Consider the following 25,342-nt stretch of genomic DNA (forward strand, 5'->3'; position numbering starts at 1 on the left):
TGCTAATTTAATCAAACCACCAAAATATTTTTAACAGAACTAAAAGAACAAACTATTTTAAAATTCACATGGAACCAAAAAAGAGCCTGAATAGCCAAGGCAATCATAAGCAAAAACAACAAAGCTGAAGGCATTACATTACCTGACTTCAAACTACACAACAGTGCTACAGTAAACAAAGCAACATGGTACTGGTACAAAAACAAACTCATAGGTCAATGCAACAGAATAGGGAGCCCAGAAATAATGCCACACACCTAAAACCATCTGATCTTCAACAAAGGTGACAATAGGAATGTGGGAAGAATTTCCTATTTAATAAATGGTGCTAGAATAACTAGCTAGCACTATGTAGTAGATTTTTTATAACACCATATAAAAAAATCAACTCAAGGTAAATAAAAGACTTAAATGTTAATCTTAAAAAGGATATATTTTAAAAAACCCTGGAAGGTAAGAAGTGCCATTCTAGACATAGAAACTGGCAAAGATTTCATGATGAAGATATGAAAAGCAATTGCAACAAAAGCAAAAACTGACAAATGGGACCTAATTAAACTTTTTCACAGCAAAGGAAACTATCAACAGAGTAAACAGACATCCTACAAAATAATAGAAAATATTTGCAAACTATGCTTCTGACAAAGGTCTACTATCTAGAATCCATAAGGAACTAAAACAAGTTTACAAGAAAAAAAAACTAAAAAGAAGACCAAAAAAAAACATGAAAAAGACGTTTGTCTTCAAAAGGAGACAAACATGTGGCTAACAAGCATGTAAAAAAATGCTCATCACTAATCATTAGAGAAATGCAAAAGAAAACCACAACAAGAAATCATCTCAAACCAGTGAGAATGGCCATTATTATAATTCAACCATTGTGAAAAGCAGTGTGGTGATTCCTCACTAAACTAAAAACAAATTACCATTTGACCCAGTAACCTCACAATTGGGTATATACCTAAAAATATATAAATTATTCTATCCTAAAGACACATGCACAATCACGTTCATTGCAGCACTATTCACAACAGCAAAGACATGGAATCAACCTAAATGCCTATCACTGGTAGACTAGATAAAGAAAATATAGTATGGTTGGGCATGTTGGCACACGTCTGTAATCCAGCACTTCGGGGGATGAGCTAGGTGGATTGCCTGAGCTCAGGGGTTTGAGACAGGCATGGACAACATGGCAAAATCCCATCTATAAAAAAAAAAGTACAAAAATAAAAATTAGCTAAGCATGGTGGCACAGACTTTAGTCTTAGCTACTTGGGAAGCTTAGGTAGAAGAGGATTGCTTGAGCCTGAGAGGTTGAGGTTTCAGTGAGCCAAGATCACACCACTGCACTCCAGCCTGGGAAAAAGGTGAGACCCTGTCTCCAAAAATAACAAAAAAATTAAAAACTTTATTAATAAACTTAATAAAAACAAAATATGGGCTGGGTATGGTGGCTCACACTTGTAATCCCAGCACTTTGGGAGGCCAAGGCGGCAGATCACCTGAAGTAAGGAGTTCGAGACTAGCCTGGCCAACGTGGCAAAACCCCATCTATACTAAAAATACAAAAATTAGCTGAGTATGGTGGCACACGCCTGTAATCCCAGCTACTCCAGAGGCTGTGGCAGAATTGCTTGAACCTGGGAGGTAGAGGTTGCAATGCGCCGAGATCAAGCCACTGCACTCCAGCCTGAGTGACACAGCAAGATTCCATCTCAAACCAAACAAACAAACAAATATGGTACATAAACACCATGAATTCATGAAATACTGAGTGGCCATAAACAACAACAACAAAAAAAACAAGATTATGTCCTTTGCAGCAACATGGATGAAGCTGGAGATCATTATTCTTAGAAAACTGATGCGGAAACAGAAAACCAAATGCATGTTATTATTTATAAGTAAGAGCTAAATAAGAACACATGAACACAGAGGGGAAAAAAGACACTGAGGCCTAGTAGAGGGTGGAGGGTGGGAGGACTAAAAGGGTCAGAAAAAGTACCTTTTTGGTGCTATGATTAGTACTGCAGTGACAAAATAATCTGCACACCAAACTCCCATGACATAATTTTAGCTGTATAACAAAGCTGCATGTGTACCCCTGAACCAACCAAAAATAAAAGTTAAAAGAAAACAAAGTCCCTGGGTTGGAGAGAGTGCAATGCAGGTGGAAGGACTGGTTTGTCCTATAGATAGTGGCCCAGGTGGGGCTGTACTCTGATTTATTTCTGGGTCCATGCAGGCAGATAAGATTATGAACCCTAGGCTGGTGGAGAAAACAGGTTGCTACTGCAGATTCAGTGTCTGAAAATAGAGATATGCCAGGAGACTTGTAGACACTTTTGTGGTTTTTGGCCAAAAAAACCACTAGGATCAAAAATGCTGTGGTAAAATTCCTGAGGGTGGTGCCTTGTCCAGAGAGGAGTGTGGACACATCAATGTCAAGTGGGTGTTTGTGAGTGGGTAGAAATCCTCTGCTGGCAGCTGTGGCAAAAGGGGGTTTGTCATCAGATCTCTTTTAAGTTTTCAGTCCTCTGTCACCCTGGGAGGAGATCTGAAATCAAAGAACAAGGGGCAGTGTGACAGCCTGTGTAGAGGAGATCAGAGCTTCCCATTCCCAGACACCCAGAGTTTCATTCCAGGCCAGGAGTCTGTGATATCTTTCTTCTGGCACCAAATCTGCAGAGTTTGATGAACACCAACAATTCTCCAACAGCAACTCATTGTCTAACACTTGAATTCTGACACCACCCAGAGTCAGCACAGACCCTGATTCAGGGCTCAGTCCCACAACATTGTCCTCACTGCAGATGCCAGTCACAAACCCCATGGGCTCATCTATGCTTCTGACCTACTGTTTAAAAATTGGGGACTCCCATAACCTTTTTGAAATTCAATAACCTGATACAGCTACTCACAGAACTCAGCAGAACACTAGTTATACTTACTGGCTTCAAATAAAATATACAACCCCCAAAAAGTCAAATGGAAGAAAAGTATAGAACCAAGAAAAGAGGTGGGAAAAGATGAAGCATATAGATAATAAATAGCCGGGATTAGTAAAATTCTCTATCCTCTGTGTTCTCCAGGAACACTTATGAAAAGAAAAACCCTTCTCATCATGACTTAGATGGTGCTCTTTTCTTACCTACTACACAACCAGGAAAACACTCTGCATATTTTCTTCTTCTTCTCATTAAAAAAATCAGCTGAATTTGCCTTCAGTGGTCAACATAAAATACCTTTTAATCAAACTTAAGTTTATTTTCTTCCCACAGGCTCCTGAACTCTGAGCTACTCTCAGTCCGAGCCACCATACAACCTCATTTTATGCTACTGCAGATTCAGTGTCTGAAGAACACTCCTAAGAACACACTGACTTCAGGGTAAAACATTCTCTGATCTAAAATCTGATTATTTCACCCTTCATTTAAACATTCCCCTCACCTTCTTTCTAATCTTATTTGCTTTTCCCTAGGAAAAAAAGCCCTTTTCTACCTAATCTTTGCAATCCTTAAAGATCTTATAGTTGGTACTTCCTCCTGTTGTAATACTCCTTTGGAATTCAATTTTTTTTTTAATGTACGTCTAACTGGTTTATTTTAAAACCTCTCGAATCTGCCTCAAAACAGTAACAATTTACTGTTTAACAATTTAGGGCTAGGGTTCAGTTTAGGGTTAGGTTTAGGGTTCCGTAAGACACCCCCAAACCTCTTCTATCTTAACCTTAACTGCATCTGCCTGTGGGGCCCCAGCTTTCCAGGGCTCTGTAGCTTCTCTCACTATAGAGGCTTCTTCCATGGCTGCGGTAAGCAGGCTGGGACATCTGCAGGAAAGGCTTTCCAGAAGGAACTAACTGGGCCTTTAATAACCTCCGTCTGCTGGCTCAAAATTAACCTTAGCTTGCAGTCATTAGGCTCAAGCTTTAATTTACCATGTCAGAGTCATTCACTTAGTTTTTGAAATTGTGTTTGAAAAATCCAGCAAAATGATTCAAAAACAGTGTTCATATAAGAAAATTTTAAGGTGCTTACCTTTTGTACCTCAGTAAGAGAAGCAAATGTATTTATTTCTTTTGGACAATAAAGCATTATTTTATTTTTTGTATTAAAAATCATGTGGTAAACAGTTATATGGGAACACTTCTAGGAGGTACCAAGTTTCATGACATAAAATTTACCATTAAACTCAGAAATCGAAAAACAGGATATAGAACAAAGATATTTATTTTTGCAAATTCACCCTGCAAGAAAAGAAACTGATGTTTTCACGAATCTGTGTAACTCACCAATTACCTACCGCATTTTCTTGTGGAAATATATTAATTCTCTATAGCCAAAATGGAAGAAAAATTTTTATTTTTTTCCTCAGTAGCTAACATTCTAAAAGCTAGATGGAATTCTATTTGAAATCACTCAGCCATAAAAAACACACCTGAGGGCCGGGCACGGTGGCTCATGCCTGTAATCCCAGCACTTTAGGAGGCCGAGGCAGGTGGATCATGAGGTCAGGAGATTGAGACCATCCTGGCTAACACGGTGAAACCCCGTCTCTACTAAAAATACAAAAAAATTTGCTGGGCGTGGTGGCGGGCTCCCACTATTTGGGAGGCTAAGGCAGGAGAAGGGCGTAAACCTGGGAGGAGGAGCTTGCAGTGAGATCCCGCCACTGCACTCCAACCTGGGGACAGAGCAAGACTCTGTCTCCAAAAAAAAAAAAAAAAAAAAAAAAAGTAACACCTGAAAAAACTCCTAAATTCACTCTGAGAAAATAAAAGATGAATGAGAATTTTCAACAAATAAAATATATAATTAGATATTGTTTTTTGAAATTCACCTTTTTTTATGCCCTTTGTAAATATTTTCTTACCTTTCAAGCCCTACTAATAAAATGCAATTTACAGTTAAAAAACTGAGGTCAGCCGGGCACAGGGGCTCACACCTGCAATCCCAGCACTTTGGGAGGCCAAGGCAGGCAGATTACTTGAGGTCAGAATTTTGAGCTCAAACAGCACGGTAAACATGGCAAACCCCCATCTCTATTAAAAATACAAAAAGTAGCCAGGTGTGGTGGCAGGCACCTGTAGTCCCAGCTACTTGGGAGGCTGAGGCATAAGAATCACTTGAACTCGTGATGCAGAGGTTTCAGTGAGCCGAGATTGCACCACTGCAGTCCAGCCTGGGTGACAGAGGAAAGCACTGTCTTAAAAAAAAAAAAAAAAAAGGGCCGGGCGCGGTGGCTCACACCTGTAATCCCACCACTTTGGGAGGCTGAGGCAGCCAGATCACAAGGTCAGGAGTTCGAGAACAGCCTGGTCAATATGGTGAAATTCCGTCTCTACCACAAATACAAAAATTAGCCGGGTGTGGTGGTGCACACCTGTAGTCCCAGCTACTCAGGAGGCTGAGGCAGAAGAATTGCTTGAACCCGGGAGGCAGAGGTTGCAGTGAGCAGAGATCATACCACTGCACTCCAGCCTGGGTGACAGAATGAGACTCTATCTCAAAAAAAAAAAAAAGAAAAAAAAAACTGAGGTCAAAATAAGTGAACAATGCATTTAATCATTTCAAGGTACAGATATGTCTGACTCATGTGTCAAGTCAGGCCATCCAATTACTTGAGAGATTCTCCCACCCCATCCTGTTCACTTAAGTGCTCAGTAACCATTCTCTCAGGAGACTCTGAACTATGCCCCAGTGAGTGCCCCAGGTACATTTTACTTTGCAAGTTCTTGCACCATCTCACTGGGGTCAGTTTTTTTTTTTGTCTTTGGAGTGCTATTTTTTTTCACAAACTTTTTACCATTTTTATTTCACTATTTTTCTGTCCCCTAAGAGAATCCAGGGGCAAAAATTATTTTGGTTTCCCCTTCAATACCAGCATCTGATTGTCTGAACAGCAATATGTCTCCAAGAAATGGAAGCTGCGTTGGGTAAAGACAACACTAATATCTCAAGGGGTTAGCTTTCCAAAAAAACAGCACACCAGAAGATGCCTCTCAGCCCCAGGGTATTCACCTGCTCTCTTGAGAGGCTACACTCCATATCTCATGTTGTGTTATGGGAGAAGAGAGGCTACACTGTGTACCTCAGGTTGTCTTATGGGAGAAAATGACCCAGGAGCTGATATTCACTAGACGCTCTCGCAGACATAGCCATGGCGGGTATCTTAGTTTTTCCCCAGATAGTACTGAATCTCAGGTCCAAGAAAAAACTGAAGGGTGTCTGAGGACACATCTCCCTATAAAGTTTCCAAAGGGAAACCTTGACCCAAAACATTCTGATATCTATGTCTACGGAAAACAGAAGAAAAAATATTTACAAACAGAAAACAAATCTTTTTAAATGTGCCATCAAATGCTTTGTCAAAAAATGATTACAATAGGTATCAAAATGTAAACTAAAGGACAAATAGTTGATCATGTGAATAAGGGAGGGGAAATTGGCGTTTGGGAATGTCAGAAGGAACTGGAAATTAAGTATTTTACTGCAAGCCAGAGTCAGGCTGGAGAAATAGGGGGTGGCAGATAGACTTGAGGTCCTGCTTGGGACACATGTGAAAAATGCAAGGAAACAGCAATTCCTTGTGGGGTGTGAAAATAATTAAGTGGCTGGCAGTTAGACTGAGGAGGCTCTAGTTTCTAATTTCTACTTTTAAAAAATCTAATTCGGCCAGGCACGGTGGCTTACCCTGTAATCCCAGCACTTTGGGAGGCCGAAGCAGGTGAATCACTTGAAATCAGGAGTTCGAGACCAGCCTGACCAACATGGTGAAACCCCGTCCCTGTTAAAAATGCAAAGTTAGAGGGCATGGTGGTGCATGCCTGGAATCCCAGCTACTTGGAAGTCTGAGGCAGGAGAATCATTTGAACCTGGGAGGCGGAGATTGCAGTGAGCCCAGATGGCGCCACTGCACTCCAGCCTGGGCGACAGAGTGAGACTTGGTCTCAAAAAAAAAAAAAAAAAATCTAATTCAAATGCATTTTTTGTAAATTACTACATTGGGGGAAAAAATTTCAGGCTTAACACACTATAAACTGCCAATTAACCTCTGATTACATAACCAAGAAACTTCCATCTTGATGTTACAAATTAAGAAACCACAAGGCCGGGCGCGGTGGCTTACGCCTATAATCCCAGCATTTTGGGATGCCGAGGCGGGCGGATCACGAGGTCAGGAGATCGAGAACATCCTGGCTAACATGGTGAAACCCTTTCTCAACTAAAAATACAAAAAAGTAACCGAGCGTGGTGGCGGGCGGCTGTAGTCCCAGCTACTCGGAAGGCTGAGGCAGTGGAATGGCGTCAACCCGGGAGGCGGAGCTTGCAGTGAGACAAGATCGTGCCACAGCACTCCAGCCTGGGCGACAGAGGGAAGACTCCGTCTCAAAAATAAATAAATAAATAAAACAAAACAAGAAACTACGTAACTGTACCTAACCAATTATTGAATGTGGTTTTCCTCGTTATGCACCTTATAAAACTCTTTCCGTCAAACCCCTTCAATAGACCATTAACTACAACCCATAGCTGGGTGCTCTACAATTTTGGAATCACTCTTTGATTAAATTCTTTAATATTTTTGAGGTGACTTCCATAAATTTTTAATAGGAGAAAACAGGAACTGGGAGCCTCACGGACCAAAGCTCTTCCCATTCATGAACCCACACCCCAAGTCAGGATTCTCCTCTCACGACCCTCTCATGGTCCCTGCACATCTGGGAGAGACTCCGCGCTGCGGGTGCAGAGCGGCCCCAAGAGGGCTCCAGGCCAGGGCACAATCACAGCGCAGGGAAGAGACAGGACGCCCGGGGACCGGGTGTCAGCGCAGCCTCCATCTTATGGCTGAACCGGACTGAGGTCGAGCTAGGCAAGAACTCGGGGCACAGATGTGGAGCTGACTGCGGGGAGGCCTGAGTCCCGCCACAGCCACTTCCCACCGGTTCCAAGCAGCCCGGGCCACTCTCTCAGTGTGTCGGACCCGGCACACTCACCATTTCTAGGCTTCCAGGGGGTCCTGGCGACTTAGTTGTGGATCTCCCAATACCTGCAGGTCATAGGGCCACAGAGGCTGGGACTCTAGGAGCAGAGGACACACAGCAGTAAGGACGAGACCTTGACCTCCGGCTGCAGCGAGAGACAAAGGACCGACCACATCCCGGAAGCCGACCTGTCCCCTCCAGCTGCCTGCCTGATTGGACGTTCCCAGCCCAGCATCCCTGATTGGATAATGTTTAAGGCCCCGCCCTTTCAGGCCCTGAGTGACAGAAGATGTGATCAGATGCTGGGCTGAATGAAGAAAGAGAGCCAGCGTAGGCTGCAACCTTTCAGGCAGGGCTTCCTCCCTGAGCTGAGCCAGGCCCACCCCAGAGCATGCGAATATTCTATCTCTTCTTTACTCTCTCTCTTTTTAAATGTATTCGAAATGTGAACGAATATATTTTACTGCCATGTTAATAATACATAAAACTTTTGTTCCAGAGTAAATTAATTTTTACTTTAGTCATAGTGTGTTATCAATACTAAAGGCCGGGCGCGATGGCTTACGCCTTTAATCTCAACAGTTTGGGAGGCCGAGGAGGGCGGATCACTGGAGGTCAGAAGTTCAAGACCAGCCTGGTCGATAGGGTGAAACCCCTTCTCTACTAAAAATACAAAAATTAGTCGGGCGTGGTGGTGGGCGCCTGTAATCCCAGCTACTCAGGAGGCTGAGGCAGGAGAATCATTTGAATCCAGGAGGTGGAGGTTGCAGTGAGCCGAGGTTGGGCCATTGCACTCCAGCTTGCGCAACAAGAGTGAAACGCCATCTCAAAAAACAAAACAAAAAAATTAAACTTATTTTAGTAAAACCTTATAAATAAATCCATCAAATTTGTCACTTTTCCAACACTCTACATTTTCATATATATTTTATAATCTCACATTTTTTTAACTTTTTCTATTTTATTTTAATAGATTTTTTTAACTTGAAACAACCTTAAATTATTATTATTATTATTATTATGGTTGTTGTTGTTTTTTGAGACAGAGTCTTGCTCTGTCCACCAGGTTAGAGTGCAATGGCATGATCTCAGCTCACTGCAACCTCCGCCTCCTGGGTTCAAGCAATTCTTCTGCCTCAGCCTCCCGAGTAGCTGGGATTACAGGCGCCGTCCACCACACCCAGCTAATTTAGCATGGTGACCTGAACTTGTAGTTACCAGCTATTCAGGGGCTGAAGTAGGAGTATTGCCTGAGCCCAGGAGGTTGTGGCTGCAGTGAGCCCTGATCAAGCCACTGCACTCCATTCTGGGTAACAGAGTGAGACCCTTTCTTAAAAAAAAGACAAAGCATATAACCTTAAACTTATGGGAGTTTGGGGCTTTTTATTTTTGTCTTAAATTATTATATTTCAATAGTTTTGGGGTATACGTAGTATTTGGTTACATGGATAAGTTCTTTTGTGGTGATTTCTGAGATTTACGTGCACCAATCTCCCAAGCAGTGTGCACTGTACCCAATGTGTAGTCTTTCATCCCTCACCCCCTCTCCCACCCTTCCCACTGAGTGCCCAGAGTCCATTATATAATTCTTTTATTTATTTATTTATTTATTTTCTGAGACAGGGTTTCATTCTTGTTGCCTGGGCTGGAGTTCAGTGGTGTGATCTCGGCTCACCACAACCTCCACTTCCCAGGTTCTAGCGATTCTCCTGCCTCAGCGCTCCCAAGTAGCTAGGATTATAGGCATGCCCCAACATGCCCGGCTAATTTTGTATTTTTAGTAGAGACAGGGTTTCTCTATGTTGGTCAGGCTGGTCTTGAACTCCCGACCTCAAGTAATCGCCCGCCTCTGCCTCCCAATGTGTTGGGATTACAGGCGTGAGTCACCGCACTCAGACCCATTATATAATTTTTATGCCTTTGCATCTTCATAGCTTAGCTCCCACTTATAAGTGAGGACATACAATATTTGGGTTTTTATCCCCTATTTCTTTTTTTTTTTTTTTTTTGAGATGGAGTTTTTTTTTGTGATGGAGTTTGCTGTGATTACAGGCATGAGCCACTGTGCCTGGCCTATTTTTTGATGTTTTAATTATGGTCTTTTCTGTTTGTTTGTTTTTGAGATGGAGTCTCGCTCTGTCGCCCAGACTGGAGTGCAGTGGTGCGATCTCGGCTCACCGCAACTTCCGCCTCCCGGGTTCAAGCGATTCTCCAGCCTCAGCCTCCCGAGTAGCAGGCATTACAGACACACGCCATCGCGCCCTGCTAATTTTAGTATTTTTAGTAAAGGCGTGGTTTTGCCATGTTGGCCAGGCTGGTCTGGAACTCCTGACCTCAGGTGATTCACCTGTCTCGGTCTCCCAGAGTGCTGGGATTACAGGCATGAGCCACCATGCCCGGCCAATCATGGTCATTTTTGCAAGAGTAAGGTGGTATCACATTGTGGTTTTGATTTGCATTTCCCTGGTCATTAATCATTAGTGATGTTCAGTATTTTTTTTTTCTATGTTTGTTGGCCATTTGTGTATCTTCTTTTGAGAATTTTTTAAGTCCCATCTGTCTTTGTTTTTGTTGCATTTGCTTTGGGATTCTTGGTCATGCACTCTTTGCCTAAGTCAATGCCTGGAAGAGTTTTTTCAATGCTTTAGAATTCGGGTTGTTTCAGGTCTTAGATTAAAGTATTTGATCCATCTTGGGTTGATTTTTGTATAAGGTGAGAGATGAAGATCCGTTTTTTTTTATTTTTTTTTATTTTTTTGAGACAAGTCTCGCTCTGTTCCCAGACTGGAGTACAGTGGCGTGATCTCAGCTCACTGTAACTTCTGGCTCCTGGGTTCAAGCAATTCTCTGCCTCAGCCTCCCGAGTAGCTAGGATTACAGGCACCCGCCACCATACTTGGCTAATTTTTTTTTTTTTTTTTTTGTATTTTTAGTAGAGACAGAGTTTCACCATCTTGGCCAGGCTGGCCTTGAATTCCTGACTTCATGATCCAACCACCTCGACCTCCCAAAGTGCTGGGATTACAGGTATGAGCCACTGCGCCCAGCTGAAGATCTAGTTTTATTTTTCAATATGTGGCTTCCCAATTATCCCAGCACCATTTATTGAATAGGGTGTTCTTTCCCCACTTTATATCTTTGTTTACTTTGTCAAAGATCAGTTGGCTGTAAGTATTTGGGTTTATTTCTGATTTCACTATTCTGTTTCATTGGGCTACATGTCTATTTTTATACCCATACAATGCTGTTTTGGTAACTATAGCCTTGTAGTATAGTTTGAAGTCAGATAATGTGATGCCTTCAGATTTTTTTGTGTGTGTTTTTGGTTTTGTTTTGTTTTGTTTTATTTTTCTTAGTGTTGCTTTGACTATGGAGGCTCTCTTTTTAATTTATATAAATTTTAGGTTTTTTTTTTAGTTCTGTGAAGAATAATAATGTTATTTTGATGGAAATCACATTGAATTTGTAGATTGCTTTTGGTAGGTTGATCATTGTCAGAGTAAAATCGCTACTCATCCATAAGCATGAAATACATTTCCATTTGTTTTTGTTGTCTATGATTTCTTTCAGCAACGTTTTGTAGTTTTTCTTGTAAAGATCTTTCACCACTTTGGCTAGACATATTCCTAACTTTTTTTTTTGCAGCTATTTTTAAATGATGAGTTCTTAATTTAATTATTAGTTTGGTCACTGTTAGTGTACACCAGTGCCACCAATTTGTGCACATTCATTTTGTATCCTGAAATTTTACTGAATTTATGTATCAGATTGAAAAGTTGTTTTTTTTTTCTTTTTGAGACAAGGTTTTACTCTGTCTCCCAGGCTGGAGTGCAGTGGCATGATCTCGGCTCACTGCAACCTCTGCCACCCGAGTTCAAGTGATTCTCCTGTCTCAGCCTCCCTAGTAGCTGGGATTATAGCCACTCGACACCATGCCCGGCTAATTTTTGTATTCTTAGTAGAGACGGGGTTTTACCATGTTGGCCAGGCTGCTCTTGAACTCCTGACCTCATGATCTGCCCGCCTGGGCCTCCCAAAGTGCTGGGATTACAGACGTGAGCCACCACGCCCAGCTGATGCTGTTTATTTTTTGCTTTACTCTGATTGCTCTGGCTAAGACATCCATTAGTGTGTTAAATAGAAGTGGTGAGAGTGGGCATTATTGTCTTGTTCCAGTTCTCAGAAAAAATCCTTTCAACTTTTTCCCGTTCAGTGTAATGTTGGCTGTTTATAATAGAGAGCTTTTTTTTTTTTTTTTTTTTTTTTTTTCCAGACAGAGTCTCACTCAGCCCAGGCTGGAGTGCAATGTCAGGATCTCCGCTCACTGCAATCTTTGCCTCCTGGACTCAAGTGATTCTCCCGCCTCAGCCTCCCCAGTAGCTGGGACCACTAGGCACCCGCCATCATGCCTGGCTAATTTTTGTATTTTTGAACAGACGAGATTTCACCATGTTGGCCAGGCTGATCTCAAACTCCTGACCTCAGGTGATCTGCCCACCTCGGCCTCCCAAAGTGCTGGGATTACAGGCTTGAGCCACCACGCCTGGCCTGTCATAGATGGCTTTTATGACCTTACAATATGTTCCTTCTATCCCGATTTTGCTGAGGATTTTAATCATAAAGGGATGCTGGATTTTGCCAAATGATTTTTCTGCTTATATTGATATAATCATGTAGTTTTTGGTTTTAATTCTGTTTATTTGGTGTAAAACATGTATTGACTTACCTATGTTAAATCATCTCTGCATCCCTGGCATAAAATGTTCTCGATTATGGTGTACTATCTTATTAATATGCTGCTGTGTTTGGTTAGCTAGTATTTTATTGAAGATTTTTGCATTTATGCTCATGAGGAACATTGGTGTGCAGTTTTCTTTTATTATGTCTTTTCCTGATCTTGGTATTAGAGTGATATTGGCTTCATAGAATGATTTAGGAAGGATTCCCTTTTTCTCTGTCTTTTGGAATAGTTGCAGTAGGACTGGTACCAATTATCTGAATGTCAGATAGAATTGAGCTACGAATCCATCTTGTCCTGGACTTTTTTTGTTGGCTTTTTTTTTTTTTTCTTGAGTCTTGCTCTGTCACCCAGGCGGGAGTGCAGTGGTGTAATCTTGACTCACTGCAACCTCTGCCTCCTGGGTTTAAGTGATTCTCCTTCCTCAACCTCCCGAGTAGCTGGAATTACAGGCACAAACCACCATGCCTGGTTAATTTTTGTATTTTTAGTAGAGATGGGGTTTTGCCATGTTGATCAGACTGGTTTCAAACCCCTGACCTCAAGTGATCCACCCACCTCATCCTACCAAAGTGCTAGGATTACAGGCATGAGCCACTGCACCCAGCTGGCAATTTTTTATTACTAGTTTAATCTTGGTACTTGTTATTGGTCTGTTCAGAGCTTTTATTTCTTCCGGGTTTAATCTAGGAGGTTTGTATATTTCCAGGAATTTATCGAACTCCTCTAGGTTTTCTAGTTTGAGCATGTAAAGGTATTCCATGGTAGCTTTGAATGATCTTTTATTTCTAATTGAGCATATTTGGATCATAGATTCAATGCTGTCCCCATCAAGCTACCACTGAGTTTCTTCACAGAATTAGAAAAAACTACTTTAAATTTCATATAGAACCAAAAAAGAGGCTGCATTGCCAAGACAATCCTAAGCAAAAAGAGCGAAGCTGGAGACATTATACTACCTGACTTCAAACTATTGTACAAGGCTACAGTAACCAAAACAGCATGGTATTGGTATCAAAACAGATATACAGACCAATGGAACAGAACAGAGGCCTCAGAAATAACACCACACATCTACAACCATCTGATCTTTGACAAACCTGACAAAAACAAGCAATGAGGAAAGGATTCCCTATTTAATAAATGGTGTTGGGAAAACTGGCTAGCCATATGCAGAAAACTGAAACTGGACCCCTTCCTTACACCTTATACAAAAATTAACTCAAGATGGATTAAAGACTTAAATGTAACACCCCAAACCATAAAAACTCTAGAAGAAAACCTAGGTAATGCCATTCAGGACATAGACATGGGCAAAGGCTTCATAACTAAAATACCAAAAGCAATGGCAACAAAAGCCAAATTTGACAAATGGGACCTAATTAAACGAAAGAGCTTCTTCACAGCAAAAGAAACTATTGTTGGAGTGAACAGGCAACCTATGGAATGGGAGAAAATTTTTGCAATCTATCCATCTGACAAAGGGCTAATATCCAGGATATACAAAGAACATAAACAAATTTACAGCAGAAAAACAAACAACTCCATCAAAAAGTGGGCAAAAGATATAAACAGACACTTCTCAAAAGAAGACATTTACGCAGCCAACAAACATATGAAAATATGCTCATTATCACTGGTCATTAGAGAAATGCAAATCAAAACCACAATGAGATACCATCTCATGACAGTTAGAATGCAATCACTAAAAAGTCAGAAAACAACAGATGCTGGGGAGGATGTGGAGAAATAGGAACACTTTCACACTGTTAGTGGGAGTGTAAATTAGTTCAACCATAGTGGAAGACAGTGTGAGAATTCCTCAAGGATCTAGAATCAGAAATAGCATTTGACCCAGCAACCCCATTACTGAGTATATACCCAAAAGATTATAAATCACATGAACACGTATGTTTATTGCAGCACTATTCACAATAGCAAAGACTTGGAACCAACCCAAGTGCCCATCAGTAATAGATTGGATAAAGAAAATGTGGCACATATACACCATGGAATACTATGCAGCCATAAACAAGGACGAGTTCATGTCCTTTGCACGGACGTGGATGAAGCTGGAAACCATCATTCTCAGCAAACTAACACAAGAACAGAAAACCAAACATTGTATGTTCTCACTCATAAGTGGGAGTTGAACAATGAGAATGCATGGACACAAGGAGGGGAATATGACACACTGGGACCTGTCAGATTGAGGGGGGCTAGGAGATGAATAGTATCAGGAGAAATACCTAATGTAGATGATGGGTGGATGCGTTCAGCAAACCATCATGGTACATGTATACCTGTGTAACAAACCTGCACATTGTGCACATGTGTCTCAGAACTTAAAGTGTAATAATAAAAAAGAAAAAAAAAAGAATGCTGAAGGCAGTTTCTTTTACTTAAAATAAAATGACTCAAGAAAATGACACATAATCATATAAACATATATATAAACAAATTTTTTTGAGATGGAGTTTTACTCTTGTTGTCCAGGCTGGAATGCAGTGGCCTGATCTCAGCTCACTGCAACCCCTGCCTTCCAGTTTCAAGCAATTCTCCTGCCTCAACCTCCCATGTAGCTGAGATTACAGGTGCCTGCCACCACGTCTAGCTAATTTTTTAAAATTTTAGTAGAGATGGCATTTCACCATGTTGGCCAGGCTGGTCTCGAACTCCTAACCTCCTGATCTGCCCACCTCAGCCTCCGAAAGTGCTGGGATTACAGGCATGAGCCACTGCATCTGGCCAAAAGAGAAAAGAAAAAAAAGGATTACTTTCTTGGATAGACATGCACATACAAAAAAATGAAATTTCTTAGCATAATCATAATGGTGCAGAAAACATTTTTAAGTATTGTCTGTAATTTGAAAAAAATTTAGAAAATTATTAAAATTTTGAGAGTAAAATCTTTGTATGCAACTGAAATTTATCTTCTACCAGATTAAAATATATTGTTATATCTTTTAGAGGTTTTGTGTAATTTCCAAGGTACCACAAGGTACCACAAAAAAACTGTAATCTGTATAGATATGCAAAACAAAATAAGAAAAAATTAAAAGCATATCAGTACAAAAATCAAAATGACACAAAGGAAGACACAAAGAGAGAAAATTAGAGACGAAGATACAACAATCAAATAAAACAATAAAATAACATTACTAAGTCTTTCTGTTTCAGAAAATTATTTAAACATGTATATAAAATGAGCTTTCCAATTAAGAGACATACTTGTAATAAAGGAATTAGATAATTTTAAAAACCAAGATCCAACTTGCCTTTCTATAATCGAGTCATCAGAGATCTAATGATAAAAAAGACTGATAATAGCAGGATGGATGTAGATATTCCATGCAAATATTAATTAAATTAGAGCAGAAGAGGTCAAAATAATGTTACTTTAGCTGTTTATTTATTTATTTATTTATTTATCTATTTATTTATTTTGAGATGGAGTCTTGCTCTGTTGACAGGCTGGAGTGCAGTGGTGTGATCTCGGCTCACTGCAACCTCTGCCTCCCAGGTTCAAGAGATTCTCCTGCCTCAGCCTTCCAAGTAGCTGGGACTACAGGTGCATGCCACCACAGCCAGCTAATTTTTGTATTTTTAGTTGAGACGGGGTTTCACCATGTTGGCCAGGATGGTCTCCATCTCTTGACCTCATCATCTGTCTGCCTTGTCCTCCCAAAGTGCTGGGATTACAGGCATGAGCCACTGCACCCAGCCTACAGTAGCATATTTCCATACCCCAATTTGTATAATAAAAACAAAACAAGACAGCATAATAGTAAGAGAACAGAGAACTTGAAGACAAGTATAAAACAATCATTCCTAACAGAGGTACAGAGAACACTCCTCAACAACATCAGGATACACAGCCTTCCCAACAGCTCATAAAACATTGTCCTTGATAGACCATCTGTTAGGCCAAAATAGAAGTCTTAACATAATTTTTAAAACTAAATTTATATGGATTACTTTCTATGACCAAAATGAAATGAGAGCATGAAACAATAATAGAAAAAAACTGAAAAAGTTATAAATGTATAGAAATTAACACACTTAGGAGCATGCTCCTGTTCAAAGGTTGAGATAAATATTTTGAAGATATCCATACTCTTCAATGTAAACTACAGATTCAATGGGATGTTCTTTAAAAGTTCACACTACATTTTGAAGAAACAGAAACAGCAACTCCAAAAGTATACGGAATCTAATGAGACAATAAAATACCCAATAATCTTCAAAAAAAGAAATAATGTTAAAGGCATTACAGTTCCTGATTTTAAAACTCATTACAAATCTACAAAATTAAAACAATTTGGTGTGAGTATAAAAGTAAAAATGTAGACTAATAAAAACCAATGCAGCACATATATAAAATTTAACATATATAGTCATATGAAGAATTATTTACATACTCATAATAATTGCAGCATTGTTACAAATTTTTAGTAGAGGCCAGGTTTCGCCATGTTGCCCACGCTGGTCTCCTAGGCTCAAGTGACCCACCCATCGCTGCCTTCCAAACTGCTGGGATTATACGTGTGAGCCACCTCACCCGGCCCAATTTATTTTCTTTTTTTAAGGTTTTTTTTCTGAAAATTTTATGATATTTTGGATGGGAATGTATTGCCCTGTTTTGTATACATTGTAATCTTTAATTGATATTTGGACATTTTTTAAAAAGCTAGCTGTCACGATCTTTTATCATGTAGCTTTGTCCTGGTATAGTCTGAAAACAATTGTCTTTGCTAGAGATTCTGGGAGTCTTTCGAACATGTTCTTAGTATGTGTCTTGTCTGAAATTTGGTGTTTTTTTTTTTAGTTAAAGAAGTTTATTTGTCTTTCTTCTTAATAGTCTTCACTTGCTACACCTGTTCCCTGTCTGTGGCACTGCAGCCTCTCTGCTGCTGTTACATTTACCTCTGGTCTCTGCAGACCCGAACTGTCATTCCAAAGTATACCACCATTTCATTCAGCACTTTGTCACTTTGTGACCTCCATCTCTGCCACCATGACCACTTTGTTCATGGGCCTATTGGGCAATGACGGGGTGGCTGGGGAAAGACGCTGAGTGATGTCAACAAAACAGGTCATCCTATCCACTTGATTATTAAAAATCTCCTCTGCTGAGGTCACCCATTGGTGAGCACTCACATGGGATACAAATATCTTCACAGTTTTTGACCACTCAGGAGGTTCATTCACATACCTCTTCCCCAAATTTCTTTGTCACCAATTTTTCAATCATGCTTCTTCCAAGTACCTGGCAATCCAGCCAAACAATTGGCTAAAGCCCATGATTCAGTATGTAATCACACATCTGGCCATTTCTCCTTCCATGCAAAGTGCACAACCAGGTGCACTGCTCAAAGTTCTGCCCACTGGGAAGATTTCCCTTCACCACTGTCTTTCAGGGATGTCCTAGAAAGGAACTGTAGTGCCGCAGCTGTGTCCACTTTCAGGTGGTGCCTGCTTATTATACAGAATCATCTGTAAACGAGGCCATAGTCTTTTCTTCCTCTGTCAAATGATCACAGGGAACTCCCCCTTAGGTCATCAGTGCAGGCTGGGGGAGAGAAGGCAGGATGGCAGAAGTGGAGACCATGGGCATTTGAGCCACTTTCTCATTTGTGCCTTCAGAAACTGCTCAAGCCCAATCACATATATACTACCTCCATTTGATGATGGAATGCTGTTTTGCATGACCTACTTTATGGTTAGATGGGTCAGAAAGCACCCAGTTCATGATAGGCAGTTCAGGTCGCATGGTGACTTGACAACCCATAGTCAAAAGTTCAGTTTTTACCAAAGCCCAGTAATAGGCCAAGAGTTGTCTCTCAAAAGGAGAGTAGTTATCTGCAGAAAATGGCAGGGCTTTGTTACAAAATCCTACAGGCTGGCCAGGCACAGTGTCTCATTCCTGTAATCCCAGCACTTTGGGAGGCCGAGGCAGGCAGATCACCTGGGGTCAGGAGTTTGAGACCAGTCTGGCCAACATGGAGAAACCCCATCTTTACTAAAAATATGAAAATTAGCCAGGCATGGTATGGTGGTGGGTGCCTGTAATCCCAACTACTCAGGAGGCTGAGGCAGGAGAATTGCTTGAACCTGGGAAGTGGATGTTGCAGTGAGACAAGATAATGCCATTGCACTCCAGCCTAGATGACAAGAGCAAGACTCCATCAAAAAAAAAAAAAAAGAAAGAAAGAAAGAAAGAAAGAAAGAACAAAATTCTAGAGGCCTCTGCTGTGATTCACCTAAGGGGGCCTGCCAAAGGCTACAAATAGCATCCTTATTTTACACTGACAACTCAAGATCCATTGGATCTCCTGGGTAATATGGCCCAAGTGGCAGAGCAGCTTGCACAGCAGCCTGGACCTGTTGCAGAGCCTTCTCCTTTTCTGGACCACACTCAGAACTGGCAGCTTTTTGGGTCACTCAATAAATGGGCCAGAGTAACACACCCAAATGAGGAATAGGTTGCCTCCAAAACCCAAATAGGCCCACTAGACATTGTGCCTCTTTCTTGGTTGTAGGATGGGCCAAATGCAGCAACTTACCTTTTACCTTAGAAGGACTATCTTGACAGGCCTTGGACCACTGGACCCCTGGAAGTTTTACTGAGCTAGAAGGTCTCTAAATTTTAGTCAGACTTATTTTCCATCCTCTGGCATGCAAACGTCTCATGAATAAGTCTGGTGTGTTTGCTATTTCTTGCTTACTGGATTCAATCAGCATAATGTCATCAATGTAATGGACCACTGTGGTATTTGCAAAAGCAAAAAGTGATAGAGGTGTCTTTGAATAAGATTATGACACAAAGCCAGAGAGAGCGATAGGATAGTAAAGGTATATTGCCGGCCTTGCCAGCTGAAAGCAAATTGCTTCTGGTGGGCTTTATGGACAGGAATTGAGAAAAGGGCATTTGCTAAGTGAATGTCTGCATACCAGGTACCAGGAGATGTGGTAATTTGCTCAAGCAATGAAACTACATCTGGTACAGCAGCTGCAATTGGAGTTACCACTTGATTAACCTCATGATAATCCACTGTCATTCTCCAAAATCCATCTGTCTCCTGCCAAATGAGTTGAACGGGATGGGGTGGGAATCACAGCCTCTGCGTCTTTCAAGTCCTTGATGCTGGCACTAATCTCTGCAACCCCTCCACGGATGCAATATTGGTTTTGATTTACTATATTCCTAGGTAGAGGCAGCTCTAATGGCTTCCATTTGGCTTTTCCCACCCTAATAGCCCTCACCCTACTACTCAGAGAGCCAATGTAGGAGTTCTGCCATCTGCTAAGTATGTCTATGCCAATTTTGCATTCTGGAACTGGGTAAATGACCACAGAATGAGTCTTGGGACCCACTGGATCAACCATGTTGGACCTGAGCTAAATTTCTATTAAGTACCTGACCTCCATAAGCTTCTACTTTAACTGGAGGACCACAGTGATGTTTTGGGTCCCCTGGAATCAATGTCAGCTCAGAGCCAGTGTTTAGGAGTCCCCAAAATGTCCAATCATTTCCCTTTCCCCAGTGCACAATAACCCTCATAAAAGGCCAGAGATATCCTTGGGGAAAGATGAGAGAAAGATTCACTACATAAATTGTCAGTAGTGTAGTGGGGTTTTTCCTCAAGGGAATCCGGCCTCCCCTTTATTCAAGGGGTTCTGGGTCTGTAAACTGGCTCAAGTCTGGAAATTGATTGAGGGGCCATGATTCTCTGTTTTTATGTTTCAAATTAGTCTTTTGTCCATTCAACCTAGAATTTTTCTGCTTGCATAAATTAAGTAGGAATGCAGTAGGTTTCCTATCAATTTTACTTCTAAGAACACCGTGATGAATCAGCCAATGCCAGAACTCTACACAAGTCAGACTATTCTGATTGCCATTTTGCCTCTGCTGTCCATTACAGTAGCTATGCCCACCTTGCCTTTGATGGTTGGCCCCTGCCACCATGGGATCCAATTATTCCCACTGTATTTAAATTTTGTAGTTGAGTGACCGGGGTTCCCACTGTTAGATCCGACATGCAGAGAAGAGCAATTATAAGGTTCTTCAAAGATTCAGGTGCTGCCTTCACAAATCTATTTTGCAAGGCAATGGTCAAGGGTATATCTTCTGGACCTTCCCTGCTAGAATTAGTAGGTCTAAAGTGACTAATCCACTCCAGTATCCCAATCTCCCTAAGCCTTTTGATTCCTCCCTCTACATTAAACCAAGGGATATCAGGCATTTCCAGGTCCCTCACAGTGGGCCATCTTTTAATCTATATTTCAGCTAACCGAGCAAATAAACTATTAAAACCTTTTTTAATTCCCCAAGCTGCAACATTAAATGCAGTGTTCCTACTTAGTTGGCCCAAATAAACAAATTCAGCCTTGTTCAACTCTATGTTCCTTCCACCATTATCCCACACCCTTAATATTCATCCCCAAGCCTGTTCTCCAGATTTCTGTTTATATAAATTAGAAAACTCAAGCAGTTCTTTTTGAGTGTAGTGTACCTCCTCATGGGGCACACTCTCAACCTCACCTCTAGGGGTCTGCTGGGACTTTAGTCTACTTATATGCCTAGAAGCAAACAGGGGTGTTGAGGGTGGCTCCTGAAAAGAATCAACATTATTTTGCCTGACAACTGCCTCAGGGGAGGCCATCAGTGTTGCCTCAGGCAGTGCAGAGTTTATCTCAGACAAAGGTGGAAAGGCTAATGGCAGCACGGATCAGAAAGGGGATGTTGCCACTACTGGGGATGGGGAAGCTCTTTCTTCTAACAAAAAAGGCTCATCAGAGTTTACAAACTCAGAGCCCCTAGCTTCATCAGGGTCCTCCCACACGTCCCCATTCCAAGTGGCAGGGTCCCATTCTTTTCCAATCAATGCGCTCACTCTAACAGTAGACACCTGGCGAGGCTGTGCATACACCTTTTGTTGCAGGTCAGCCACTAGCATAATAAGAGTTTGTGTCTGTTTTTGCACAATTTCAGCTCTTTCTCTACCAGAGATGAGACTCTCACACAGGGCAATCTTAGCAGATTTGAGGCTCAGTAACTGCTTCTGAAGCCAAAAGATAGAATCCCTGAGTTCATCATTTTCTATCATCACTTTGTTCACTGAACTTATGACAACCAGCTTCATTATGTTCCTTGGTTCTCCACATATGGTCAAACCTCCGCCTCCCAGTTCAAGCAATTCTCTGCCTCAGACTCCTGAGTAGCTGGGATTACAGGCACCCACCACCACACCTGGCTAATTTTTGTATTTTTAGTAGAGAGGGGGTTTCACCATCTTGACCAGGCTGGTCTTGAACTCCTGACCTCGTGATCCACCCACCTCGCCCCCCCCAAAGTGCTGGGTTTACAGGTGTGAGCCACTATGCCCAGCTGGTCAAAGGTATTATGTATAGAGTCACTAAACTCCTTGCCTCTCATGAATGATAAATCAGGAGTGTCAAATGCATTTATTTTACATAACTCTCTAAACAGTTCATCCCAAAGACTATCAGTGTTTTCCATACTATTAGAAGTAGATCCTTAACATTTTTGGGTCTAATCATATTAAGCAGCCAATTCCAGAAACCCCAGAATCAAAAAAGGAACTTCATCCTTAATATTCTGTTCCTCTAGAACCACTCCTGGTACAAAAATCTGTATTAGTCAGGGTTCTCTAGAGGGACAGAACTAATGGAATATATATATCCCTGTGTGAGATATGTATGTGTATGTGCATATATATATATATATATATATATATATATATATATATATATAAAGTATATAAAGGGGAGTTTATTAAGTATTAACTCACAGAATCACTAGACCCACAATAGGCATTCTGCAGGCTGAGAATCAAGGAGAGCCACTCCGAGTTCCAAAACTAAAGAACTTGGAGTCTGATGTTCAAGGGCAGGAAGAATCCAGCACAGGAGAAAGATGTAGGCTGAGAGGCTAGACCAGTCACTCTTTTCACATTTTTCTGCCTGCTTACATTCTAGCCACTCTGGCATCTGATTAGATTGCGCCCATCCAGATTAAGTGTGTGTCTGCCTTTTCCAGCCAACTGACTCAGTTGTTAATCTCCTTTGGCAACACCCTCACAGAGACACCCAGATTTAATACTTTGTATCCTTCAATCCAGCCTAGTTGACACTCAGTATTAACCATCACACCTAGTTAAGAGAGTCAACATCTCTCCATTTGGCTGAGTCCAGGTGAAACAGTCATCACCATTTTTCTAAGCTGAATCCAGAAATGAGTCAGCATTCCATCAGTGGGCAGATTCACATATCAGTCACAATTCCAACTGTGAATTTTTTTGGTGTGTGAGATTTAGAACCTCACCAGTGGGCTCTGTTTATATGTGAAGGTAACAATACTAACTGTTAGCTTTGTCTGCATATTGAAGTCACAATCTCACCTGCGTGTGGGGCCCCGTGATAAAACTTTGCATTGCCAGAGGGCTTTATGTAATTTCCATAAGTGTCATAATCTTCTGTGACTCTCATACAGGTAGAAGACCCAGGACCCTACCAGTTTACTCAAGCCTAGCTATAATAGTCAACATATATTTTATTGGCTGGATCCAGGTATGAGAGTTATCAATGTGCCTGTGAGCTAACTTTATAAATAGGTCAACATCACACCTGTGGCTGGATCTACATATGACATTCCAGCTGTGGACTGTGTCCATGTACAAGATTCAAGACCTTACCAGAAGTCTCTGTCCATGTGTGAGGGTGACACTCAACTTTTGGCAGGATGAGCATACAAGAGTCACAATCTCACCTGTGTGCTGGGTGCAGTTATATGTCAAAATCCCACCTGTGGAAAAGAAACAAGCTAAGAGAGTCACATATTTTAAGTTCTAGGCTAAAGATATGTTACAATATGCCTTGTGGGCAAGGCTCAGGAAAGAGAGTTACATCACCTGAGTGATGTGACTGGTGATATGTCACAATGCCTTCTATGGGCATGGCTCAGGCAGGAGTTTTACATTATTTTTGTGTTGGCCCTATGATATGTCACAATCCCCCTCCATTTGCGTGACTTAGAGAAAATAGAAGAGTCACAGCACCTAAATTATGACCACAGAGGTATATCACAATACCTCCTGTGGGCAGAGCCTAAGATAGAGGGTCACATCACCTGCAATCTGGGCTCAGTACAATGTTTCAATCTCCCCTGAGGCCAGAGCCCAGGCAGAAGAGGAGAATTATATCACCTAAGTGCTTGGGCCTGTGGTATGTCACAGTTCTTTTTTTTTTTTTTTTTTTTTGCTGGGGGGTAGGCAGAATGCAGGCAAAGTATTTCACAATACCTACTGTGGGCAGGGCCCAGGCAGTACAGTCACATCACAGAGGTGCTGGGCTCAGTGACATCTCACAGTGACTTTGTGGACAGGGCCCAGGCTGAAAATAAGAGTCATAAGACCTAAGTGCTGAGCCCAGTGAAATTTCACAATAGCCTCTGTGGGTAGGGCTCAAGCAAGAGAGTCACATCACAATCTTTTCTGAGAGCTGGGCCCAGGCAGGGAAGTAAAATCACTCAGGTGCTAGGCAAAAGTATATGTCACAGTCATACTTGTGGGAAGATCTAGGGCTAAGATTCACAATTCCACACATGTCCCAGCTTCAGGTAAAAGCGTCAACACCTCCTGTGAGTTGCATCCAAGTACCTGAGTCACAGTATCAATGATGAACTGGATCCATGCATGAGAGTCCCAATTCCACCTGTAGACTGTGTGTTGTGTTGGCCCTATGATATGTCACAATCCACCTCCATTTGCATAACCTAGAGAAAATAGAAGAGTCGCAGAGCCTTCTGTGACTCGTATTAGAGTCAAAGCCTTCTAGTTGTGTTGAATCCTGGTCTTAGAGTCACCATCCACCTGTAGACAAAATCCACATAAAACAATTACAATCCCAACTTTCGACTGTGTCCAGGTGTGAGATTCAGAAGCTCAACAGTTTTCTGTATCCATGCAGGAGGGTGACAATTTTTACTAGGCGCTGGAAGTGCATATGAGAATTAAAATCTCAGCTTGTTCTGGGTCCTCTTATGACACTCTCTGTACCACCCAAGGGCTTTACATTGATTGGGTGAGAGTCACAATCCCCTGTGAGATATTACCACTGGTATAAATTCATGATCTTGCCTGTTGCCCTAAGTTTGGGTATGAGAGTCAACATCTCTCCTATTGTCTGGGTCCAGGTATGAAAGTAATTGCTGTGCCTCTTAGTTGGGTTTTATGAGTCACCCTCCCACCTGTGGCTGGATCCACACATGACATTAAAAATTCCAACTGTGGACTGCATCTGTAAGTGAACCTGCAGGTTCTGTCCATGTGTGTGGGTGACAATTCTTACTCTTTGCTGGGTGTGCATTTGAGAGTCACAATCTCAAATTTTGCTGAGTTATGTAATGACACTTTCTGTACAACCCGAGGGCATTATACAATATTAGTGAGCGTGGTAATCCTCTGTGACATTTATACAAGTAGAAAACCCAAAACCTTACCTGTTGCCCTAAGCCTAGGTACAAGCAGCAACATATCTTCTATTGGTGGGTTTATTGGGCAAGTGAATTGGGTTCAGAAATTTTCCACCATCCA

The 25,342-nt window shown here is 41.5% G+C and overlaps 1 protein-coding gene and 1 long non-coding RNA gene across 26 annotated transcripts in view; both read right to left on the bottom strand.

The window, feature by feature from the left end:
- Positions 1–8,151, bottom strand: part of ZNF208 (zinc finger protein 208) — a 71,129-nt gene extending 62,978 nt beyond the window's left edge. For 5 of the 6 annotated variants that reach the window (NM_001329974.2, NM_001329971.2, NM_001329972.1 and 2 more), the window contains exon 1: positions 8,000–8,151. In NM_001329974.2, coding sequence (NP_001316903.1) covers positions 8,000–8,002 — 3 coding nt within the window. In that variant the 5' untranslated portion in view covers positions 8,003–8,151. Of the gene's footprint in view, positions 1–6,695; positions 6,790–7,999 lie in introns of all 6 variants that reach the window. The other variant, NR_138252.2, reaches the window with a different exon arrangement.
- A 7,035-nt stretch (positions 8,152–15,186) lies between these two features.
- LOC112268248 (uncharacterized) overlaps positions 15,187–25,342 on the bottom strand; it is a 28,317-nt gene continuing 18,161 nt past the window's right edge. For 13 of the 20 annotated variants that reach the window (XR_007067189.1, XR_007067191.1, XR_007067188.1 and 10 more), the window contains 3 exons: positions 24,407–24,619; positions 23,444–23,553; positions 18,951–19,492 (listed from right to left, as the gene is read on the bottom strand). This is a non-coding gene — a long non-coding RNA (uncharacterized LOC112268248). Of the gene's footprint in view, positions 15,470–17,267; positions 18,298–18,950; positions 19,493–23,443; positions 23,554–24,406; positions 24,620–25,342 lie in introns of those variants that run through there. The other 7 variants (XR_007067201.1, XR_007067197.1, XR_007067202.1 and 4 more) reach the window with 6 other exon arrangements.

This window comes from Homo sapiens, chromosome 19, assembly GCF_000001405.40.
Source record: "Homo sapiens chromosome 19, GRCh38.p14 Primary Assembly".
Lineage (NCBI taxonomy): Eukaryota > Metazoa > Chordata > Mammalia > Primates > Hominidae > Homo > Homo sapiens.